Source organism: Homo sapiens, chromosome X (assembly GCF_000001405.40).
Source record: "Homo sapiens chromosome X, GRCh38.p14 Primary Assembly".
NCBI classification, from domain to species: Eukaryota; Metazoa; Chordata; class Mammalia; order Primates; family Hominidae; genus Homo; species Homo sapiens.
Genome location: NC_000023.11, coordinates 112,501,146 through 112,520,990, shown reverse-complemented (window position 1 = coordinate 112,520,990; position 19,845 = coordinate 112,501,146). Strand labels below are relative to the sequence as shown.

Here is a 19,845-nt window from a genome sequence, read left to right as displayed (position 1 = left end):
CTGTGCCCTTTGAGTTATTCTCAGTAATTGGAAAATTTAACATGTACTCACATGTTCTGTATTAATAACCCTCTTGATGGGTGACTCTGAAAACCATGGGAACAGATAATGAGGAAACCACAGAGAGTTTTTATTGGCACTAGAGCCAAATGAATTACTTTTTTTTAAAAAAATGATATTCTAAAACAACCACCTTTTTTTCTACCTCAAATATTGGAACAGATCTTCAACAGTACAGAGTGAAAGAGTGAGGAATAAATGATGAGTGTGGTTCCTTGAACTAATATAGATAATCAATTCAAATAACTAACAAAAATAGTCCACGTGGCTGTGTATATGTATGTGTAAATAACCCATCTCATGTGTGTAGCATCACCCTTCCTTCCCCCACAAAACCCACACTGCCATGCATTATGATGCAAATTTAATAGGTTGTTGGGGAAACAGAGGACTCCAGAGAAAGTGGAAACTAATGACCTTGTAGAAGAAGAGAGGCCTGATCCGAGCCTTTACAGAATGTATAGATTATGGATGAGAGTAAAGAGCAAAATTACTTTTGGTTAAAACTGCTGGGTTTGCTATTATGCTGGTAGCTATGTCATCTTCCTAGTTGTGCAATGCTACATTATACACAGCTACAAACTATGAGCAGAAAGCACTTGTTTTGACACTTTATTGAGTATCTGTGACATGCCTTTCTCAAGGTCTTGGTTCTCCAGCAGCTTAGAGTGAGAGCAGCAGGTGATACTGTCACATATCTCAGATAACAAAAGCCAAAGCAATAGGGGCTTTTGAGTTAAAGCCCTCTGTGTTTTAACTTCAGTATGTGCTTTCTGATCCTTTGCTCCTTCTTTCCAAAAGAAGTCATATAACTATTAAGAGGCAGAGCCAAGATCCACATCCAGGCTTCCAACCTTCAGATCCTGAATTTACATGACCCAATCTCTGCTTGCTGAGATTGGTGACATTGTATGGGTTGGCTATCTCCTCAATTTTGCAAACCTCCACCCAGGCTTAGCAAAAAACCTACAGGTTATTTTACCACAAGAGGTCATCCACTATTACTGACCTACCACAAACCTCATTCTTTTCCATTCCCTATACCTGAACCTTGAGGTGTTTCCATCATATTTTTAGACCTCTCCTGAGATTATGTTGCAGAGAACCAGCACCAATTACATCCAGCTAAGAGCCATTGAAGTATAGGTCTGCAAGTTTTGTGTGTAGAAGATAGGGTTCTCAATTACATTCTCTCTGCTCCTGTGTCCCGCATCCTAGAAAATCATGAAACTCATGAAGCAAGGCATAGAGCTCAGGGGGATTTGCCATTAGTTTTCAGAGATAGAAGCTTTAATATGGCTCTGTAGAGCAATGAGAGATGATGAGGATACTGCATGTTATTTTAACAGACACCAAGGGTTCTTTCTGACTGTCCTTTGCATTAGACTAGCATGCCATTTCAATACATAAGGATTTATTCAGCAAGCACCCCGGGCCCAGCAGTGTACTAAATGTTATGGGAGATTCAAAGTCCAATAATGGTTCCTACCCCTGGAGCTTTCAATCTAGTTGAGAAGACATGACACACATTTAACAGAAAAATATAAAACACTTTATAATTAAGTAAAATTGTACATGTAATCTCGTACTTTCCATCTCATTTGTGTACCATCACACATGATGGTATGAAAGATGCTGTGGAAAGTCAGGATGAAGAGGGACAAATAATAACACCTAGTGTTTACTGAGCACCAATATATGTGACACATATTTTCTAAGTTCTTAAAACTATTAACTCTTTTAATCCAACAATTTTATTGAGCATGATACTATTTTTATGTCATCTTAAAGATGAGAAGATTGAGATACACAACAGTCAGGAAATATGCCCAAAGTCACAAAGCCGGCAAGTGGCAACATCTGGATTTCAACCCATGACATGTGGCTCTACAATCTGTTACCTAGTGCTCTATTCTGCCTGCATTCTGGTGAATTAGTTGAGGTAGACTTTATAAATGGCATAGGACTGTCTTTAAGCTGTATGGTCTACACTATAACAAGGCTTGAAGGATGGTGTAGAAGAGATGGCAAATTTGGTCAAATGCTTTTTCAGTATCTATTGAAATAATCATGTGGTTTTTGTTCTTGGTTCTGTTATGTGATGTATTACACTTAACGATTTGCACATGTTGAACTATCCTTGTGATATGGTTAGGCTCTGGGTCTCCACCCAAATCTCACATTGAATTGTAATCCGAAGTGTTGGAGATGGGGCCTAGGGGGAGGTGACTGGACCATGGGAGTGGTTTCTAATGGTTTAGCACCATCCTCTTAGTGCTATCTCATGACAGAGTTCTCACGAGATCTGGTTGTTTAAAAGTTTGTAGCACCTTCCCCTTCACTCTCTCTCCTGCTCCACCATGTGAAGAGGTGCCTGCTTCCCCTTCACCTTCTGGTTGTAAGTTTCCTGAGTCCTCCTCAGCCATGCTTCCTGTACAGCCTGTGGAACTGTGAGTCAATTAAACCTCTTTTTTCATAAATTACCCAGTATCAGGTAGTTCTTTATAACAATGTGAGAACAGACTAATATGCCTTGCATCCCTGAGAGGAATCCCACATGATCATGGTGAATGATGTTTTTAGTGTGTTGTTGAATTCTGTTAGCCAGTATTTTGGGGAGGAGTTTTGCATCTATGTTAATCAGTGAAATTGGCTTGAGGTTTTCTTTTCTTGTTTTGTCCTTCTCTGGTTTTGCTACCAGGATAATTCTGGCTTTGTAGAATGATTTTGGAAGTATTCCCTATTTTTCAACTTCTTTGAAGAGTTTGAATAAAATTGGTACTTTTTTTCTTTAAATGTTTGGTAGAATTCAGCAGGGAAGCCATCAGTTCTGGGCTTTTCTTTGCTCGGATATTTTTTATTACAGCTTTGATCTCATTGCTTGTTATTCATCTGTTCAAGCTTTTATTTTCTTCATGGTTCAATCTTGGGAGGATATAGTGTCCAGGAATTTATTCACTGCCTATAGGTTTTCCAATTTGTTGGCATATAGTTGTTCATAACAGTCTCTAATGATTTTTTGTATTTCTGTGGTCTCAGTTGTTATGTCTCCTCTTTGTTTCTGGTATTATTTATTTGGTTTTCTCTGTTTTTTTCTTAGCCTAGCTAGAAGTTTGTTGATTTTATTTATCTTTTCAAAAAAGCAACTTTTTGTTTCACTGATATTTTGTATATTTTAGTCTCAGTTTCTTTTATTTCAGCTATGATCTTTATTATTTATTTTCTTCTAATAATTTGGCATTTGTTTTGTTTTTGCTTTTCCAGTTCCTTGAGGTACATTGTTGGGTTGCTTATTTGAAGTCTTTTTTTTCCTACTTTTTTGATGTAGACATTTATTGTTATAAACTTCTATCTTAGTATTTTTTATGTTGTATCTCATTGACTTTGGTATATTGTATTTGCATTTTCATTTGTTTCCAGAAATTTTAATATTTCCTTATTAATTTCTTCATTGACCCACTGGTCAACAGGAGCATTTTGTTTAATTTTCATGTATTTTTGATGTTTTGAAGTTCCTCTGGTTATTAATTTATATTTTTATTCCATTGTTGTCAGAAAACCTACTTAATATGATTTCCATTTTTGAATTTCTTCACACTTGTTCTGTAGGCTAAGCTACAGCTTATTCTGGAGGACGTTCCATGTTACAATGAAAAAAAAAAGTGTATTCTGCAACAGGTGTGTGATATGTTCTGTAAATGTCAGTTAGGCCTAATAGGTCTAGTGTGTAGTTTAACTCCATGGCTCTTTGTTAATTTTTTGTCTGAATGATATGTCTATTACTGAGAGTGGGCTGTTTAAGCCCTCTACTATTATTGTTTTCAGTCAATCTCTCCCTTTATAACTATTCATGTTTGCTTTATGTACTTAAGAGCTCTGGTCTTCAGTGCATAGATATTTATAATTGTTATGTCTTCTTGCTTAATTGACCTCTTTACCATTATTTAGTGACCTTTTTTCCTCTTCTTACAGTCTTTCATTTGTAGTCTATTTTATCTGATATAAGTACCACTACTCTCACTCTTTTTTGGTTTCCAGTTGCATGAACTATCTTTTCCTACCCCTTCACTTTCGGTCTTTGTATGTCTTTATAGGTGAAATGGCTTTCTTGTCAGCAATATAGAATTTGGTCTTTTTTTTCTTTTTTTTTTTTGGACAGAGTTTTGCTCTGTCTCCCAGGCTGGAGTGCAGTGGTGTGATCTCGGCTCACTGCAAGCTCTGCCTCCTGGGTTGATGCCATTCTCCTACCTCAGCCTCCTGAGAAGCTGGGACTACAGGCGCCCACCACCATGCCTGGCTAATTTTTGTATTTTTTAGTAGAGATGGGGTTTCATCATGCTAGCCAGGATGGTCTTGATCTCCTGACCTTGTGATCCACCCTCCTCGGCCTCCCAAAGTACTGGGATTACAGGCGTGAGCCACCATGTCCGGCCTGGAATTTGGTCTTATTTCTTTATCCATTCAGCCACTCTCTATTTTTAAATTAGAGAATTTATTCCATTTACATTCAGTGTTATTATTGATTGGAAACTACTACTGCCAGTTTGTTGCGTGTTTTCTGGTTGTCTTGTAACTCCTCTCTTCCTGTTTTCCCTGTTTTCCATTTCCCAAAACATACAGAGAAATGATTTTCTCTGGTACTATGTTTTAATTCGTTGCTTTTTATTTTTAGAGAATCTATTACAGGTTTTTGCATTGCGGTTGCAATAAGACTTACATAAAATATCTTACAGATATAACAAATTATTTTTAAGAGACACCAACTTATATTAGATCACAAGGAAAATAATAGAAACAGAAAAAAAATTTAAAACCTCTACACTTTAATTCCATGGCCCCTACAATTTGACTTTTTGTTGTTTCAGTTTAAATATATTTATATTGCCTATCTCTTAACAAATTGCTGTAGCTGTTATTGTTTTTGATAGATTTGTCTTTTGAATTTCCTACTAGAGTTTTGTGTAAATTGCATGCCACAATTACAGTAATAAAGTATTCTGAATTTGTCTGTGTACTTACTTTTACCAGTGGGTTTTTTAACCTTTAAATGTTTTATTTTGCACAGTAGTGTTTTTTTTCACTTGAGATTGAGGAATTCTCTTTGCATTTCTTTTTTTTCTTTTTAGAGATGTAGTCTCCCTCTGTTGCCCAGGCTGCAGTGCAGTGGTGCAATCACAGCTCACTGCAGCCTCAATCTGCTGGGCTTATGTGATCCTCCTGCCTCAGCCTCCTGATAACCTGGGACCACAGGTGTGCATCACCATGCCCTGGCTATTTTTGTAATATTTTTTGTAGAGACAAGGTCCCACTATGTTGTCCAGTCTGGTATTGAACTCCTGGACTCAAGCAATCCTCCCATCATGGCCTCCTAAAGTGCTACAGGCATGAGCCACCATATCTGGCTCTCTTTAGCACTTTTTATAAGACAGGTGGTGAGTTCTCTCAGCTTTTGCTTGTCTGGGAAAGATCTTTTCTTTCCTTCATGTTGGGAGGTTAATTTTGCTGGATACAGTATTCTTGAATGGCACTTTTGTTTTGTTTTTGTTTTTTGTTTTTCTTCTCATGTACTTTGAAAATGCTATCTGACTCCCTCCTGGTCTGCATGGTTTCCATTGAGAAGTCTGTTGCCAGAAGAATTGGCACTCCTTCATATGTTATTTGCTGTTTTCCTTGCTGCTGTTAGGATCTTCTTTTTGTCCTGGACCTCTGAGAGATTGATTATTATATGCCTTGGGGTGGTCTTATTAGGGTGTAATCTATTTGGCATTCTCTTCCTGTACCTGGATATTTATCTCTTTCTCAAGTTTTGGGAAACTTTCTGTTGTTACTTCTTGATTAACTTTTCTACCCCTTGCTCTCGCTCGACTCCCTCTTGAAGGCCAATAATTATTAGATTGGGTATTTTGAGGTAATTATCTATATCTTGTATGAGATCTGTGTTCTTTGTCATTCTTTTTTTTTTCTTTCCTCCAAGTGTGTATTTTCAAATGGCCTGGCATGGAGCTTACTGATTATTTCCTCTTCTTGACCCATCCTGATGTTAAGAGACTCTAATACATTTTTCAGTTCAACAGATGTATTTCTTATTTCTGTTTGTTTGCTTGTTCTCATTATTTGAACTCCCTCATTAAATTTATCTCATAAATTTTCTGCATTATCTTAGAGATCACTGAGTTTCCTTAAATGCTACTTTTAATTATTGGTCAGAGAGCTCACATATCACCAACTCACTAGGGTAAGTCAATGGCTTCTTGCTTTGTTTAACCTTCCCATATTCTGGTTCCCTATTTGCTGGTGTGTCTTGTGGATGTAGTCTATGCCTTTGCATTGAATGATTAGTTATTCATTTTAGTCTGTCTGGCTTGTTTTGTTCTTTATTAGATATATTTGCTTAAAGATTCCTGGTAATTGACTTGCTGAATTACTTTTTTTCCTGCTAGATTGCTGCCTCCTTTTTGTCACTAGATTATGCCTTAAGCCAAGGTTTGTCTTGGCTGAAGTAAATGATCAGAGGGCTGCTTGTCCTAAATGCAGGAGGCCCCAAATGGAATATCCTTTCAGCATGGGAAGACTGGCTAGGGGTTCATGGCCAGGAAACCTGTGGAACATACCTCCTAGAACTTCTTTCATTTGATATCTCCTTAAGGCTGAGTTACAGAGCAGTTTCCAGGGCTGGGGATGATAGACTGACCTCTTCACTTTGTCTTCAGCTATCCTCAGGGATATTTCTCCATTCAGGCACTTGTGATGCTTTCCATGGGTTGAGGCCAGGGCAGAATTCCTGCTAAGGAACCCAAGATGGTGGGAAAGTTGGTTGTCCACCTCACTCTCAATTTTTCTAATGTAGAAATCATGAGTTGGGAGGAAATTTTCCATGCACTTGGTGCTGAGCAGATTGAGGGGAAGAGTATTGCAGATATAGAATGCTCTTATCATCTCTCAGAGTTTCCTCACTTCTCTGTGGCCCCTGAGACTGTCTTATTCTCATATTTAAGTTTTGGCATATTTCTGGTGATAACCTTCGTGTTGTATATTTGTTTACAGTTTTCTGTTGGTGGGGGTGGGCTTGTTTCTACACTTCCATTTTGGAATTGGAAGGTCTCTGCTGGGCATCTTTATGCATGTTATTTCCCATAAAATTGACTACAGGTCTATGAGATAGGTATCACTTTTTTTTTTTTTTTGACAAGGTCTCACTCTGTCACCTGGGCTGGAGTGCAGTGGCATGATCATGGCTCTCACTGCAGCCTCAACCTCCCAGACTCGTGATTCTCTCGCCTCAGCCCCCTGAGTAGCTGAGACTACAGGTGTGTGCCACCATACCTGGCTAATTTTTTTGTATTTTGTGTAGAAATTAGGTTTCACCATATTTTCCAGGCTGGTCTTCAACTCCTGGACTCAAGCGATTCATCTGCCTTGGCCTCCCAAAGTGCTGGGTTTACAGACATGAGCCACCGTACCCAGCTGGTATCACTTACTTTCATTTTCCAGATAAAGAAATATAAGCCAAGAGAGATTAAGAAATTAGGCCAAACACACAACTCATGACTACAAAGCCAGGACTTGAAATCAGCTTTGTCTGACCCCCCGGGCCATTTTCCTCCTGTTACATCACACTGTCTCAATGTGATTGCAACTATGCAAACAATCCACTGCATAGCAAAAGCAAGCTTCAGGGAGGCCACATAGCAAAATAGTAGTAGTGCTTGTCTTAGGGAGGATGTGCTACAGATTTTTATTTTTTACTTTTAGCTATTGCCTATGTATATAATTAAAATCTTATATTGTTTACAAAATAATAAAGAATAGTAGAGGAGAGAGAGAGAGAAAGAGTGAAAGAGAGAGAGAGGTAAATAAAAAACCAAGATGATAGAAAGAGAACTCTTTCCATTTATAAGGAAAGTTTCCAAGGACTAGGATCATGCCTCATTAAGCTGCTATGTTAACCTTGATTATTACAATATTAACCTTACCTGAAATGGCAAAATATTTTTCCTTATACTAGTTTTTTTTTTTTTTTTTTTCCCAGAAAAGCATTTGGTGAGTGGTTAAAAAGGCCTGAATTTACTTGCCTGAGACAATTTGCCTACTGCCTTTAGCTTAAACTAGAGTCTCAGGACTGGAGAGTAATATGTACCATAGCTAGCAACAGGGAGTATCTGGGAGTTAGCGAAGCTATCTTGTTTTTTGGCTATCCTGTAAGACAACAAATTTAATAGCGCCCCCTGGCCAGAATCCCTCAGAAGGGATACTGGGAGATAGCTTATCCTACACAAGCACACTCTAAAATCCAGTCCCAAGATTCATATGTGTTATTTCTGCATAGCAAAAATGTAGTCTGGTTGAAGTGATTGACGAGTTGGTGATTTTCAGTATAAAAGGCTTTTCTTTCCTAAAGAAGGTTTGAAGGCAAAGTAAGTATTGGATAATATCATCATCATCAGCAGCATTAACATTATTTGAGTACATAATATTTGTTACACGCTGTTATAACTGATTTACATGTCATTTAAGACTCACAACAACTCTTGTAATATAGGTAATACTATTGTTACCATCCTTATACTAGAGGAGGAGAAGGGAGTTGAAAGACAAAGGGACTTTCCCAAGAGCATACAATTGCTTAGTAGAGAAATCTCTTCTCCTACCTTTAACACTGACAGATATTTTTGCCTAATTACATCTGAATTAAACCTGGAAGGAGGAAAATGACATAGGATTATTTTCTACACCCATCACGAATTCACTGCCTGTAGCGTTGATTTTGTCTCTAAAGTGATGGGAGCCAAAAAGGCATGAGGATTTAAGATGTAGGCAGTTGGTGGCGGGTGCGGTGGCTCACGCCTGTAATCCCAGCACTTTGGGAGGCCGAAGCGGGTGGATCACGAGGTCAGGAGATTGAGACCATCCCTGCTAACATGGTGAAACCCCATCTCTACTAAAAATACAAAAAAATTTAGCCGGGCATGGTGGCAGGCTCCTGTAGTCCCAGCTACTCGGGAGGCTGAGGCAGGAGAATGGTGTGAACCTGGGAGGCGGAGCTTGCAGTGAGCCGAGATCGTGCCATTGCACTCCAGCCTGGGCGACAGAGCAAGACTCCATCTCAAAAAAGAGGAAAAAAAAGATGGAGGCAGTGGGTATTATCTGGCCTTTCTTACCTAAAATGCCTGCACACTTTCTGCCTAGCTCTCAAAGATGTTTTTCTACAGAAGGCTCTCTTGGTATATCATGGTCTGTTTCATTTTTGTGAAAGGATACATCATCAATCATAATTCCTGCTCTTAAGGTGCCTACCATCTAGACAAATGGTAATGATGTGTATGGATAGCATAATTATTTTCACTGTGAAAATTGTGGGGAAAATGCACAGAGATGCAATCCTAAGTTCATTGAAGCAAAGAAGGAACATTTTAATAAATTGAGGGTTGGGGAGAGTGAGTGTGAAGAGGGTTAACCTGTTTGAAGTTCAGGATATCACCTATTTGGAAAGATCATGCCCAAAGAGATTTTGCACTAAGTTTTTACTACCTGAAGGAAGTGAATCATAGAAACCATCTGAAAAAAAGAATGAAAGGATACAGAAAACATGGCAAGTAAAGGTGTGAAAGAAATCTTGATATTGAGAAATAAATTTTAATCTTTCTTTCCTCCTCCAAGAAGGCTTGGAAGAGGAAATGAAAAGCTTGAGTATGGATGTATTCAGGGGAGAAAACATATAGCTCAGAGAAACAAGAACTTGTTTTTATGAAATAGAGAAGGCAGAAATAAAATGAGAAACAGTTAAGAAAGTTCTCATACTCAGGCTGAGTGGTAAATGTGGATATTGAATGTTTTAGAGTAGGAAGAAACTAATGAGGCACTCTGGACTGAATTAATCAGTTGTATTACATCCTCTGAATACCTCTACTTGCAGGTAAAGGCTAGCTTCTTACTTTGATAATAACTAGAATTTATCACATACTTTTCATGTGCCAGAATCTGGCTACATGTAGTATCTCACGCAACGTTTAAAACAACCCCACAAAGCACAATCCCTAACAGATGGGAAATTTGAGGCCTGTGAAGATTAAGTGACAGGTCCAAGTTCACACAGATTGTAAGCAGTTGAGCTCAGGGTTGTTTGACTCCAAAGTACACTTTCCCTTCCAGACTCTCAATCCTTGGCAATACACCAGTATTTTCATCCTTTACAATATGAGACAGACCCTGAGAAAATAGTATCGTTGGCAGACAGGCTGGCAGCTCTCTGATGAGTCTTCTTGTGAAGGATGTTGGCAATTATTTATGAGTCCATCTACTTCTATTATTGAAATCTACACACAATCTGAAGTAACAGTGTCACCCTACTCTCCTCACAATTAAATTTCTTACCAGGATGCTCCATAAGAAATAATGCTGACTTTTTAATGCATGATTTCTCTCCTAGGAAAAACATCTGAGTATAAGTCAGTGAACATATAGAAAACAGGAGAAAGGAAGAGAAACGAAGGAGGCATTCTAGCCATTAAGACTCCACTAGGCCATTAAGACATCATCAATGGCTCCCTATTAGCTACACAAAAAAAATAAAAACATAGATCCAGAAAATGCTGAGTACCACCCAGTAACAGGTAATATTAATAACATGGAGCGAGACAAAAGATATTTCTTCTAAGAGACTAGACCACAAGGTTTTTCTTAAAATTATTTTTTATAGCAACCTCTAGTGGATCCAGAATCCCTAGGGTTTCATCATTCAAATCCTATTATAACAGATATAAATAGGCCCAGTCTGTGAAGACTATAATAAATACCTAACTCTTCAGTACCCGGATACTGAGGAACATCCAGGAGCATCAAGACCATCCAGGAAAACATGACTTCACCAAACAAACTAAATAAGGTACCAGAGATCAATCCTGCAGAGACAGAGATATGTGACCTTTTGGGAGAGAATTCAAAAGAGCTGTGTTGAGGAAACTCAAAGAAATTCAAGGTAACACAGAGAAGGAATTCAGAATCCTACCAGATGACTTTATCAAAAATTTGAAACAATTAAAAAGAAGCAAACAGAGATTCTGGAGTTGAAAAATGCAATTGACTTGCTGAAGAATGCATCAAAGTCTCTTAATAGCAGAACTGATCAAGAATTAGTGAGCTTGAAGACAGACTATTTGAAAATACAGTCAAAGGAGACAAGAGAAAAAAAGAACAAAAAAGATTGAAGCACACCTACAAGATCTAGAAAGCCTCAAAAGGACAAATGTAAGAGTTACTGGCCTTACTGAGGAGGTAGAGAAAGATATAGGGGTAGACAGTTTATTCAAAGGGATAATAACAAACTTCCTAAACCTAGAGAAAGATATCAATATCCAAGTACAAGAAAGTTATAGAACACCAAGCACATTTAACCCAAAGAAGACTAACTCAAGGCATTTAATAATCAAATTCCAAAGATCATGGATAAAGAAAGGATTCTAAAAGCAGCAAGAGAAAAGAAAAAAATAACATACAATCGAGGTCCAATATGTCTGGTAGCAGACTTTTCAATGAAAACATTACAGGCCAGGAGAGAGTGGCATAGACATATTTAAAGGGCTGAGGAAAAAAACTTTTACCCTAGAATAGTATATCCGGTGAAAATATCCTTCAAACAAAAAGGAGAAATAAATACTTTTCCAGACAAATAAAAGCTGAAGAATTCCATCAGTACCAGACCCGTCCTTTAGGAAATGCTAAAGAGAATACTTTAATCAGAAAGAAAATGACATTAATGAGCAATAAATAGTCACTTGAAGGTACAAAACATACTGGTAATAGTAAGCACACTGAAAAATGTAGAATACTATAACACTGTAACTGTGGTGTTTAAACTGCTCTTATTCTAAGTGGAAAGACTAAACAATGAACCAATCAACAAGAATAACTACAACAACTTTTCAAGACATAGGCAGTACAGGAAGATATAAATAGAAACAACAAGAATTTAAAAAGCAGAGATGATGTTAAAGTATAGAATTTGTATGAGTTTTCTCTTTCCTTGTTAGTTTACACCATCAGGGTGAAGTTGTCATCAGTTTAAAATAATAGGTTATAAGATGTTATTTGCAAGCCTTATGGTAACCTCAATCCAAGAAACATGCAAAGGATATACAAAAAATTAAAAGTGAGAAATCAAAATGTACTATCAGAGAAAATCATCTATACTAAAAGGAGGACAGGAAGGAAGGAAGTAAGAAAGAGAGCACCACAAAACAAACAGAAAACAACAAAATAACAAGTGCAAGTCCTTATTTATCAATCATAGCATTGAATATAAATAGACTAAACTCTCCAATCGAAAGACCTGGTTGAATGGATTAGAAAACAAGAACCAATGATATGTTGCCTAAAAGAAACACACTTCAACTATAAAGACACACATACACTGTAAATAAAGTGATGGAAAAAGTACTCCAGGCAAATGGAAACCAAAAATGAGCAGGAGTAGCTATCCTTAGATCAGACAAAATAGATTTCAAGACAAAAACTATCAGAAGAGACAGAGAAGGTCATTATATAATGACAAAAGGGTCAATTCAGCAAAAAGATATAACAATTATAAATATATGTGCATCCTATGCTGGAGCACTCAGATATATAAAAAAATGCTATTAGAGAGAAAAAGAGAGACAGACTCCAATAAAATGATACCTAGAGACTGCAAAACCCCACTTATAGCCTTAGGAAGATCTTTCAGACAGGGAAAATCAACAATGCAACATTGGATTTAATCTGTACTACAGACCAAATGGATCTAATAGATATTTACAGAACATTTCATCCAATGGCTACAGAATACAATTTTTTTTTCTCAGCACATGGATTATTCTTTTTTTTTCAATTTTTTATTTATTATTATTATACTTTAAGTTTTAGGGTACATGTGCACAATGTGCAGGTTAGTTACATATGTATACATGTGCCATGCTGGTGCACTGCACCCACTAACTCGTCATCTAGCATTAGGTATATCTCCCAGTGCTATCCCTCCCCGCTTCCCCCAACCCACAACAGTCCCCAGAGTGTGATGTTCCCCTTCCTGTGTCCATGTGTTCTCATTGTTCAATTCCCACCTATGAGTGAGAATATGTGGTGTTTGGTTTTTTGTTCTTGCGATAGTTTACTGAGAATGATGATTTCCAATTTCATCCATGTCCCTACAAAGGACATGAACTCATCATTTTTTATGGCTGCCTAGTATTCCATGGTGTATATGTGCCACATTTTCTTAATCCAGTCTATCATTGTTGGACATTTGGGTTGGTTCCAAGTCTTTGCTATTGTGAATAATGCCGCAATAAACATACGTGTGCATGTGTCTTTATAGCAGCATGATTTATAGTCCTTTGGGTATATACCCAGTAATGTGATGCCTGGGTCAAATGGTATTTCTAGTTCTAGATCCCTGAGGAATAGCCACACTGACTTCCACAATGGTTGAACTAGTTTAAAGTCCCACCAACAGTGTAAAAGTGTTCCTATTTCTCCACATCCTCTCCAGCACCTGTGGTTTCCTGACTTTTTAATGATTGCCATTCTAACTGGTGTGAGATGGTATCTCATTGTGCTTTTGATTTGCATTTCTCTGATGGCCAGTGATGATGAGCATTTTTTCATGTGTTTTTTGGCTGCATAAATGTCTTCTTTTGAGAAGTGTCTGTTCATGTCCTTCGCCCACTTTTTGATGGGGTTGTTTGTTTTTTTCTTGTAAATTTGTTGGAGTTCATTGTAGATTCTGGATATTAGCCCTTTTTCAGATGAGTAGGTTGCGAAAATTTTCTCCCATTTTATAGGTTGCCTGTTCACTCTGATGGTAGTTTCTTTTGCTGTGCAGAAGCTCTTTAGTTTAATTAGATCCCATTTATCAATTTTGTCTTTTGTTGCCATTGCTTTTGGTGTTTTAGACATGAAGTCCTTGCCCATGCCTATGTCCTGAAGGTAATGCCTAGGTTTTCTTCTAGGGTTTTTATGGTTTTAGGTCGAATGTTTAAGTCTTTAATCCATCTTGAATTGATTTTTGTATAAGGTGTAAGGAAGGGATCCAGTTTCAGCTTTCTACATATGGCTAGCCCGTTTTCCCAGCACCATTTATTAAATAGGGAATCCTTTCCCCATTGCTTGGTTTTGTCAGGTTTGTCAAAGATCAGATAGTTGTAGATATGTGGCGTTATTTCCGAGGGCTCTGTTCTGTTCCATTGATCTATATCTCCGTTTTGGTACCAGTACCATGCTGTTTTGGTTACTGTAGCCTTGTAGTATAGTTTGAAGTCAGGTAGCGTGATGCCTCCAGCTTTGTTCTTTTGGCTTAGGATTGACTTGGCAATGCGGGCTCTTTTTTGGTTCCATATGAACTTTAAAGTAGTTTTTTCCAATTCTGTGAAGAAAGTCATTGGTAGCTTGATGGGGATGGCATTGAATCTGTAAATTACCTTGGGCAGTATGGCCATTTTCACGATATTGATTCTTCCTACCCATGAGCATGGAATGTTCTTCCATTTGTTTGTATCCTCTTTTATTTCCTTGAGCAGTGGTTTGTAGTTCTCCTTGAAGAGGTCCTTCACATCCCTTGTAAGCTGGATTCCTAGGTATTTTATTCTCTTTGAAGCAATTGTGAGTGGGAATTCACTCATGATTTGCCTCTCTGTTTGTCTGTTGTTGGTGTATAAGAATGCTTGTGATTTTTGTACATTGATTTTGTATCCTGAGACTTTGCTGAAGTTGCTTATCAGCTTAAGGAGATTTTGGGCTGAGACAATGGGGTTTTCTAGATACACAGTCATGTCATCTGCAAACAGGGACAATTTGACTTCCTCTTTTCCTAATTGAATACCCTTTATTTCCTTCTCCTGCCTAATTGCCCTGGCCAGAACTTCCAACACTATGTTGAATAGGAGTGGTGAGAGAGGGCATCCCTGTCTTGTGCCAGTTTTCAAAGGGAATGCTTCCAGTTTTTGCTCATTCAGTATGATATTGGCTGTGGGTTTGTCATAGATAGCTCTTGTTATTTTGAAATACGTCCCATCAATACCTAATTTATTGAGAGTTTTTAGCATGAAGAGTTGTTGAATTTTGTCAAAGGCCTTTTCTGCATCTATTGAGATAATCATGTGGTTTTTGTCTTTGGTTCTGTTTATATGCTGGATTACGTTTATTGATTTGCATATATTGAACCAGCCTTTCATCCCAGGGATGAAGCCCACTTGATCATGGTGGATAAGCTTTTTGATGTGCTGCTGGATTCAGTTTGCCAGTATTTTATTGAGGATTTTTGCATCAATGTTCATCAAGGATATTGGTCTAAAATTCTCTTTTTTGGTTGTGTCTCTGCCCGGCTTTGGTATCAGGATGATGCTGGCCTCATAAAATGAGTTAGGGAGGATTCCCTCTTTTTCTATTGATTGGAATAGTTTCAGAAGGAATAGTACCAGTTCCTCCTTGTACCTCTGGTAGAATTCGGCTGTGAATCCATCTGGTCCTGGACTCTTTTTGGTTGGTAAGCTATTGATTATTGCCACAATTTCAGAGCCTGTTATTGGTCTATTCAGAGATTCAACTTCTTCCTGGTTTAGTCTTGGGAGAGTGTATGTGTTGAGGAATTTATCCATTTCTTCCAGATTTTCTAGTTTATTTGCGTAGAGGTGTTTGTAGTATTCTCTGATGGTAGTTTGTATTTCTTTGGGATCGGTGGTGATATCCCTTTTATCATTTTTTATTGCGTCTATTTGATTCTTCTCTCTTTTTCTCTTTATTAGTCTTGCTAGTGGTCTATCAATTTTGTTGATCCTTTAAAAAAACCAGCTCCTGGATTCATAAATTTTTTGAAGGGTTTTTTGTGTCTCTATTTCCTTCAGTTCTGCTCTGATTTTAGTTATTTCTTGCCTTCTGCTAGCTTTTGAATGTGTTTGCTCTTGCTTTTCTAGTTCTTTTAATTGTGATGTTAGAGTGTCAATTTTGGATCTTTCCTGCTTTCTCTTGTGGGCATGTAGTGCTGTAAATTTCCCTCTACACAGTGCTTTGAATGCGTCCCAGAGATTCTGGTATGTGGTGTCTTTGTTCTCGTTGGTTTCAAAGAACATCTTTATTTCTGCCTTCATTTCGTTATGTACCCAGTAGTCATTCAGGAGCAGGTTGTTCAGTTTCCATGTAGTTGAGCAGTTTTGAGTGAGATTCTTAATCCTGAGTTCTAGTTTGACTGCACTGTGGTATGAGAGATAGTTTGTTATAATTTCTGTTCTTTTACATTTGCTGAGGAGAGCTTTACTTCCAAGTATGTGGTCAATTTTGGAATAGGTGTGGTGTGGTGCTGAAAAAAATGTATATTCTGTTGATTTGGGGTAGAGAGTTCTGTAGATGTCTATTAGGTCTGCTTGGTGCAGAGCTGAGTTCAATTCCTGGGTATCTTTGCTGACTTTCTGTCTCGTTGATCTGTCTAATGTTGACAGTGGGGTGTTAAAGTCTCCCATTATTAATGTGTGGGGTCTAAGTCTCTTTGTAGGTCACTCAGGACTTGCTTTATGAATCTGGGTGCTCCTGTATTGGGTGCATATATATTTAGGATAGTTAGCTCTTCTTGTTGAATTGATCCCTTTACCATTATGTAATGGCCTTCTTTGTCTCTTTTGATCTTTGTTGGTTTAAAGTCTGTTTTATCAGAGACTAGGATTGCAACCCCTGCCTTTTTTTGTTTTCCATTTGCTTGGTAGATCTTCCTCCATCCCTTTATTTTGAGCCTATGTGTGTCTCTGCACTTGAGATGGGTTTCCTGAATACAGCACACTGATGGGTCTTGACTCTTTATCCAATTTGCCAGTCTGTGTCTTTTAACTGGAGCATTTAGTCCATTTACATTTAAAGTTAATATTGTTATGTGTGAATTTGATCCTGTCATTATGATGTTAGCTGGTTATTTTGCTTGTTAGTTGATGCAGTTTCTTCCTAGTCTTGATGGTCTTTACATTTTGGCATTATTTTGCAGCAGCTGGTACTGGTTGTTCCTTTCCATGTTTTGTGCTTCCTTCAGGAGCTCTTTTAGGGCACGCCTGGTGGTGACAAAATCTCTCAGCATTTGCTTGTCTGTAAAGTATTTTATTTCTCCTTCACTTATGAAGCTTAGTTTGGCTGGATATGAAATTCTGGTTTGAAAATTCTTTTCTTTAAGAATGTTGAATATTGGCCCCCACTCTATTCTGGCTTGTAGAGTTTCTGCTGAGAGATCTGCTGTTAGTCTGATGGGCTTCCCTTTGAGGGTAACCTGACCTTTCTCTCTGGCTGTCCTTAACATTTTTTCCTTCATTTCAACTTTGGTGAATCTGACAATTGTGTGTCTTGTAGTTGCTCTTCTCGAGGAGTATCTTTGTGGCATTCTCTGTATTTCCTGAATCTGAATGTTGGCCTGCCTTGCTAGATTGGGGAAGTTCTCCTGGATAATGTCCTGCAGAGTGTTTTCCAACTTGGTTCCATTCTCCCCGTCACTTTCAGGTACACCAATCAGACATAGATTTGGTCTTTTCACATAGTCCCATATTTCTTGGAGGCTTTTCTCCTTTCTTTTTATTCTTTTTTTCTCTAAACTTCCCTTCTCACTTCATTTCATTCATTTCATCTTCCATCGCTGATACCCTTTCTTCCAGTTGATCACATCGGCTCCTGAGGCTTCTGCATTCTTCAAGTAGTTCTCGAGCCTTGGTTTTCAGCTCCATCGGCTCCTTTAAGCACTTCTCTGTATTGGTTATTCTAGTTATACATTCTTCTAAATTTTTTTCAAAGTTTTCAACTTCTTTGCCTTTGGTTTGAATGTCCTCCCGTAGCTCAGAGTAATTTGATCGTCTGAAGCCTTCTTCTCTCAGCTCATCAAAGTCATTCTCCATCCAGCTTTGTTCCGTTGCTGGTGAGGAACTGCGTTCCTTTGGAGGAGGAGAGGCGCTCTGCTTTTTAGAGTTTCCAGTTTTTCTGCTCTGTTTTTTCCCCATCTTTGTGGTTTTATCTACTTTTGTTCTTTGATGATGGTGATGTACAGATGGGTTTTTGGTGTGGATGTCCTTTCTGTTAGTTTTCCTTCTATCAGACAGGACCCTCAGCTGCAGGTCTGTTAGAGTACCCGGTCGTGTGAGGTGTCAGTCTGTCCCTGCAAGGGGGTGCCTCCCTGTTAGGCTGCTCTGGGGTCAGGTGTCAGGGACCCACTTGAGGAGGCAGTCTGCCCATTCTCAGATCTCCAGCTGCGTGCTGGGAGAACCACTGCTCTCTTCAAAGCTGTCAGACAGGGACACTTAAGTCTGCAGAGTTTACTGCTGTCTTTTTGTTTGTCTGTGCCCTGCCCCCAGAGGTGGAGCCTACAGAGGCAGGCAGGCCTCCTTGAGCTGTGGTGGGCTCCACCCAGTTGGAGCTTCCTGGCTGCTTTGTTTACCTAAGCAAGCCTGGGCAATGGCGGGCGCCCCTCCCCCAGCCTCGCTGCTGCCTTGCAGTTTGATCTCAGACTGCTGTGCTAGCAATCAGCGAGACTCTGTGGGCATAGGACCCTCTGAGCCAGGTGTGGGACACAACCTCCTGGTGTGCCGTTTTTTAAGCCCATTGGAAAAACACAGTATTTGGGTGGGAGTGACCCAATCTTCCAGGTGCCGTCTGTCACCCCTTTCTTTGACTAGGAAAGGGAACTCCCTTAACCCCTGCACTTCCCGAGTGAGGCAATGCCTCGCCCTGCTTCGGCTCACGCACAGTGCGCGCACCCACTGACCTGCACCCACTGTCTGGCACTCCGTAGTGAGATGAACCCGGTACCTCAGATGGAAATGCAGAAATCACCCATCTTCTGCGTTGCTCACGCTGGGAGTTGTAGACCAGAGTTGTTCCTATTTGGCCATCTTGGCTCCTCTCTGGATTATTCTTAAGGATACATGATATGTCTGGCCACAGAACAAGTCTTCAAAATTACAAAAATAGAAATTATTATTATTATTATTGTTATTATTGAGATGTAGTCTCACTCTGTCACTCCAGGCTGGAGTGCAGTGGTATGATCTCAGCTCACTGCAACCTCTGCCTCCTGGGCTCAAGCAATTCTCCTGCCTAACCTCCTGAGTAGCCGAGATTAAAGGTGCCCACCACCATGCCTGGCTAATTTTTGTATTTTCTGTAGAGACAGGGTTTCATTATTTTGGTCAGGCTGGTCTCGAACTCCTAACCTCAAGTAATCCGCCCACCTCCGCCTCCCAAAGTGCTGGGATTAGAGGCATGAGCCACTGCACTTGGCCAAAAAGATGAAATTATATCAAGTATCTTCTCTGACGACAATGGTATAAAACTAGAAATCAGTAACGGAAGGAATTTTAGAAATTATACAAACCCATGGAAATTAAAGAATATGCTACTGAATTGCAAGTGGGTCAATGAAGAAATTAAGAATAAAACTGAAAATTTCTTGAAACAAATGATAATAGAAATACAACATAGCACAACCTATGGGATATACTGAAAGTAGTACTATGAGGAAAGTTTATAGATATAAGCGCCTACATCAAAAAAGTAGAAAAACGTCAAAGAAACACCTAATGATGCATCTTAAGGAACTAGAAAAACAAGAGCAAATCAACCCAAACATTAGTAGAAGAAAATAAATAATAAAGATCGTAGCAGAAATAAATGAAGTTGAAACAAATAAAACAGTAAATCAGTGAAAGGAAAAGTTAGATTTTTAAAAAGATAAACAAAGTCAACACATCTTTATCCAGATTAACTAAGAAAAATGAGAGAAAGCCATAATGAATAAAA

The 19,845-nt window shown here is 38.6% G+C and overlaps 2 annotated features.

The window, feature by feature from the left end:
• Positions 18,039 to 18,635: an enhancer, noted in NCBI's record as "H3K27ac-H3K4me1 hESC enhancer chrX:111745584-111746180 (GRCh37/hg19 assembly coordinates)". NCBI's record gives its function as "activates a minimal SCP1, AML or CMV promoter by ChIP-STARR-seq in naive H9 embryonic stem cells {active_cell/tissue: H9 hESC(naive)}" and the evidence as "EXISTENCE:reporter gene assay evidence [ECO:0000049][PMID:30033119]".
• Positions 18,636 to 19,233: an enhancer, noted in NCBI's record as "H3K27ac-H3K4me1 hESC enhancer chrX:111744986-111745583 (GRCh37/hg19 assembly coordinates)". NCBI's record gives its function as "activates a minimal SCP1, AML or CMV promoter by ChIP-STARR-seq in naive H9 embryonic stem cells {active_cell/tissue: H9 hESC(naive)}" and the evidence as "EXISTENCE:reporter gene assay evidence [ECO:0000049][PMID:30033119]".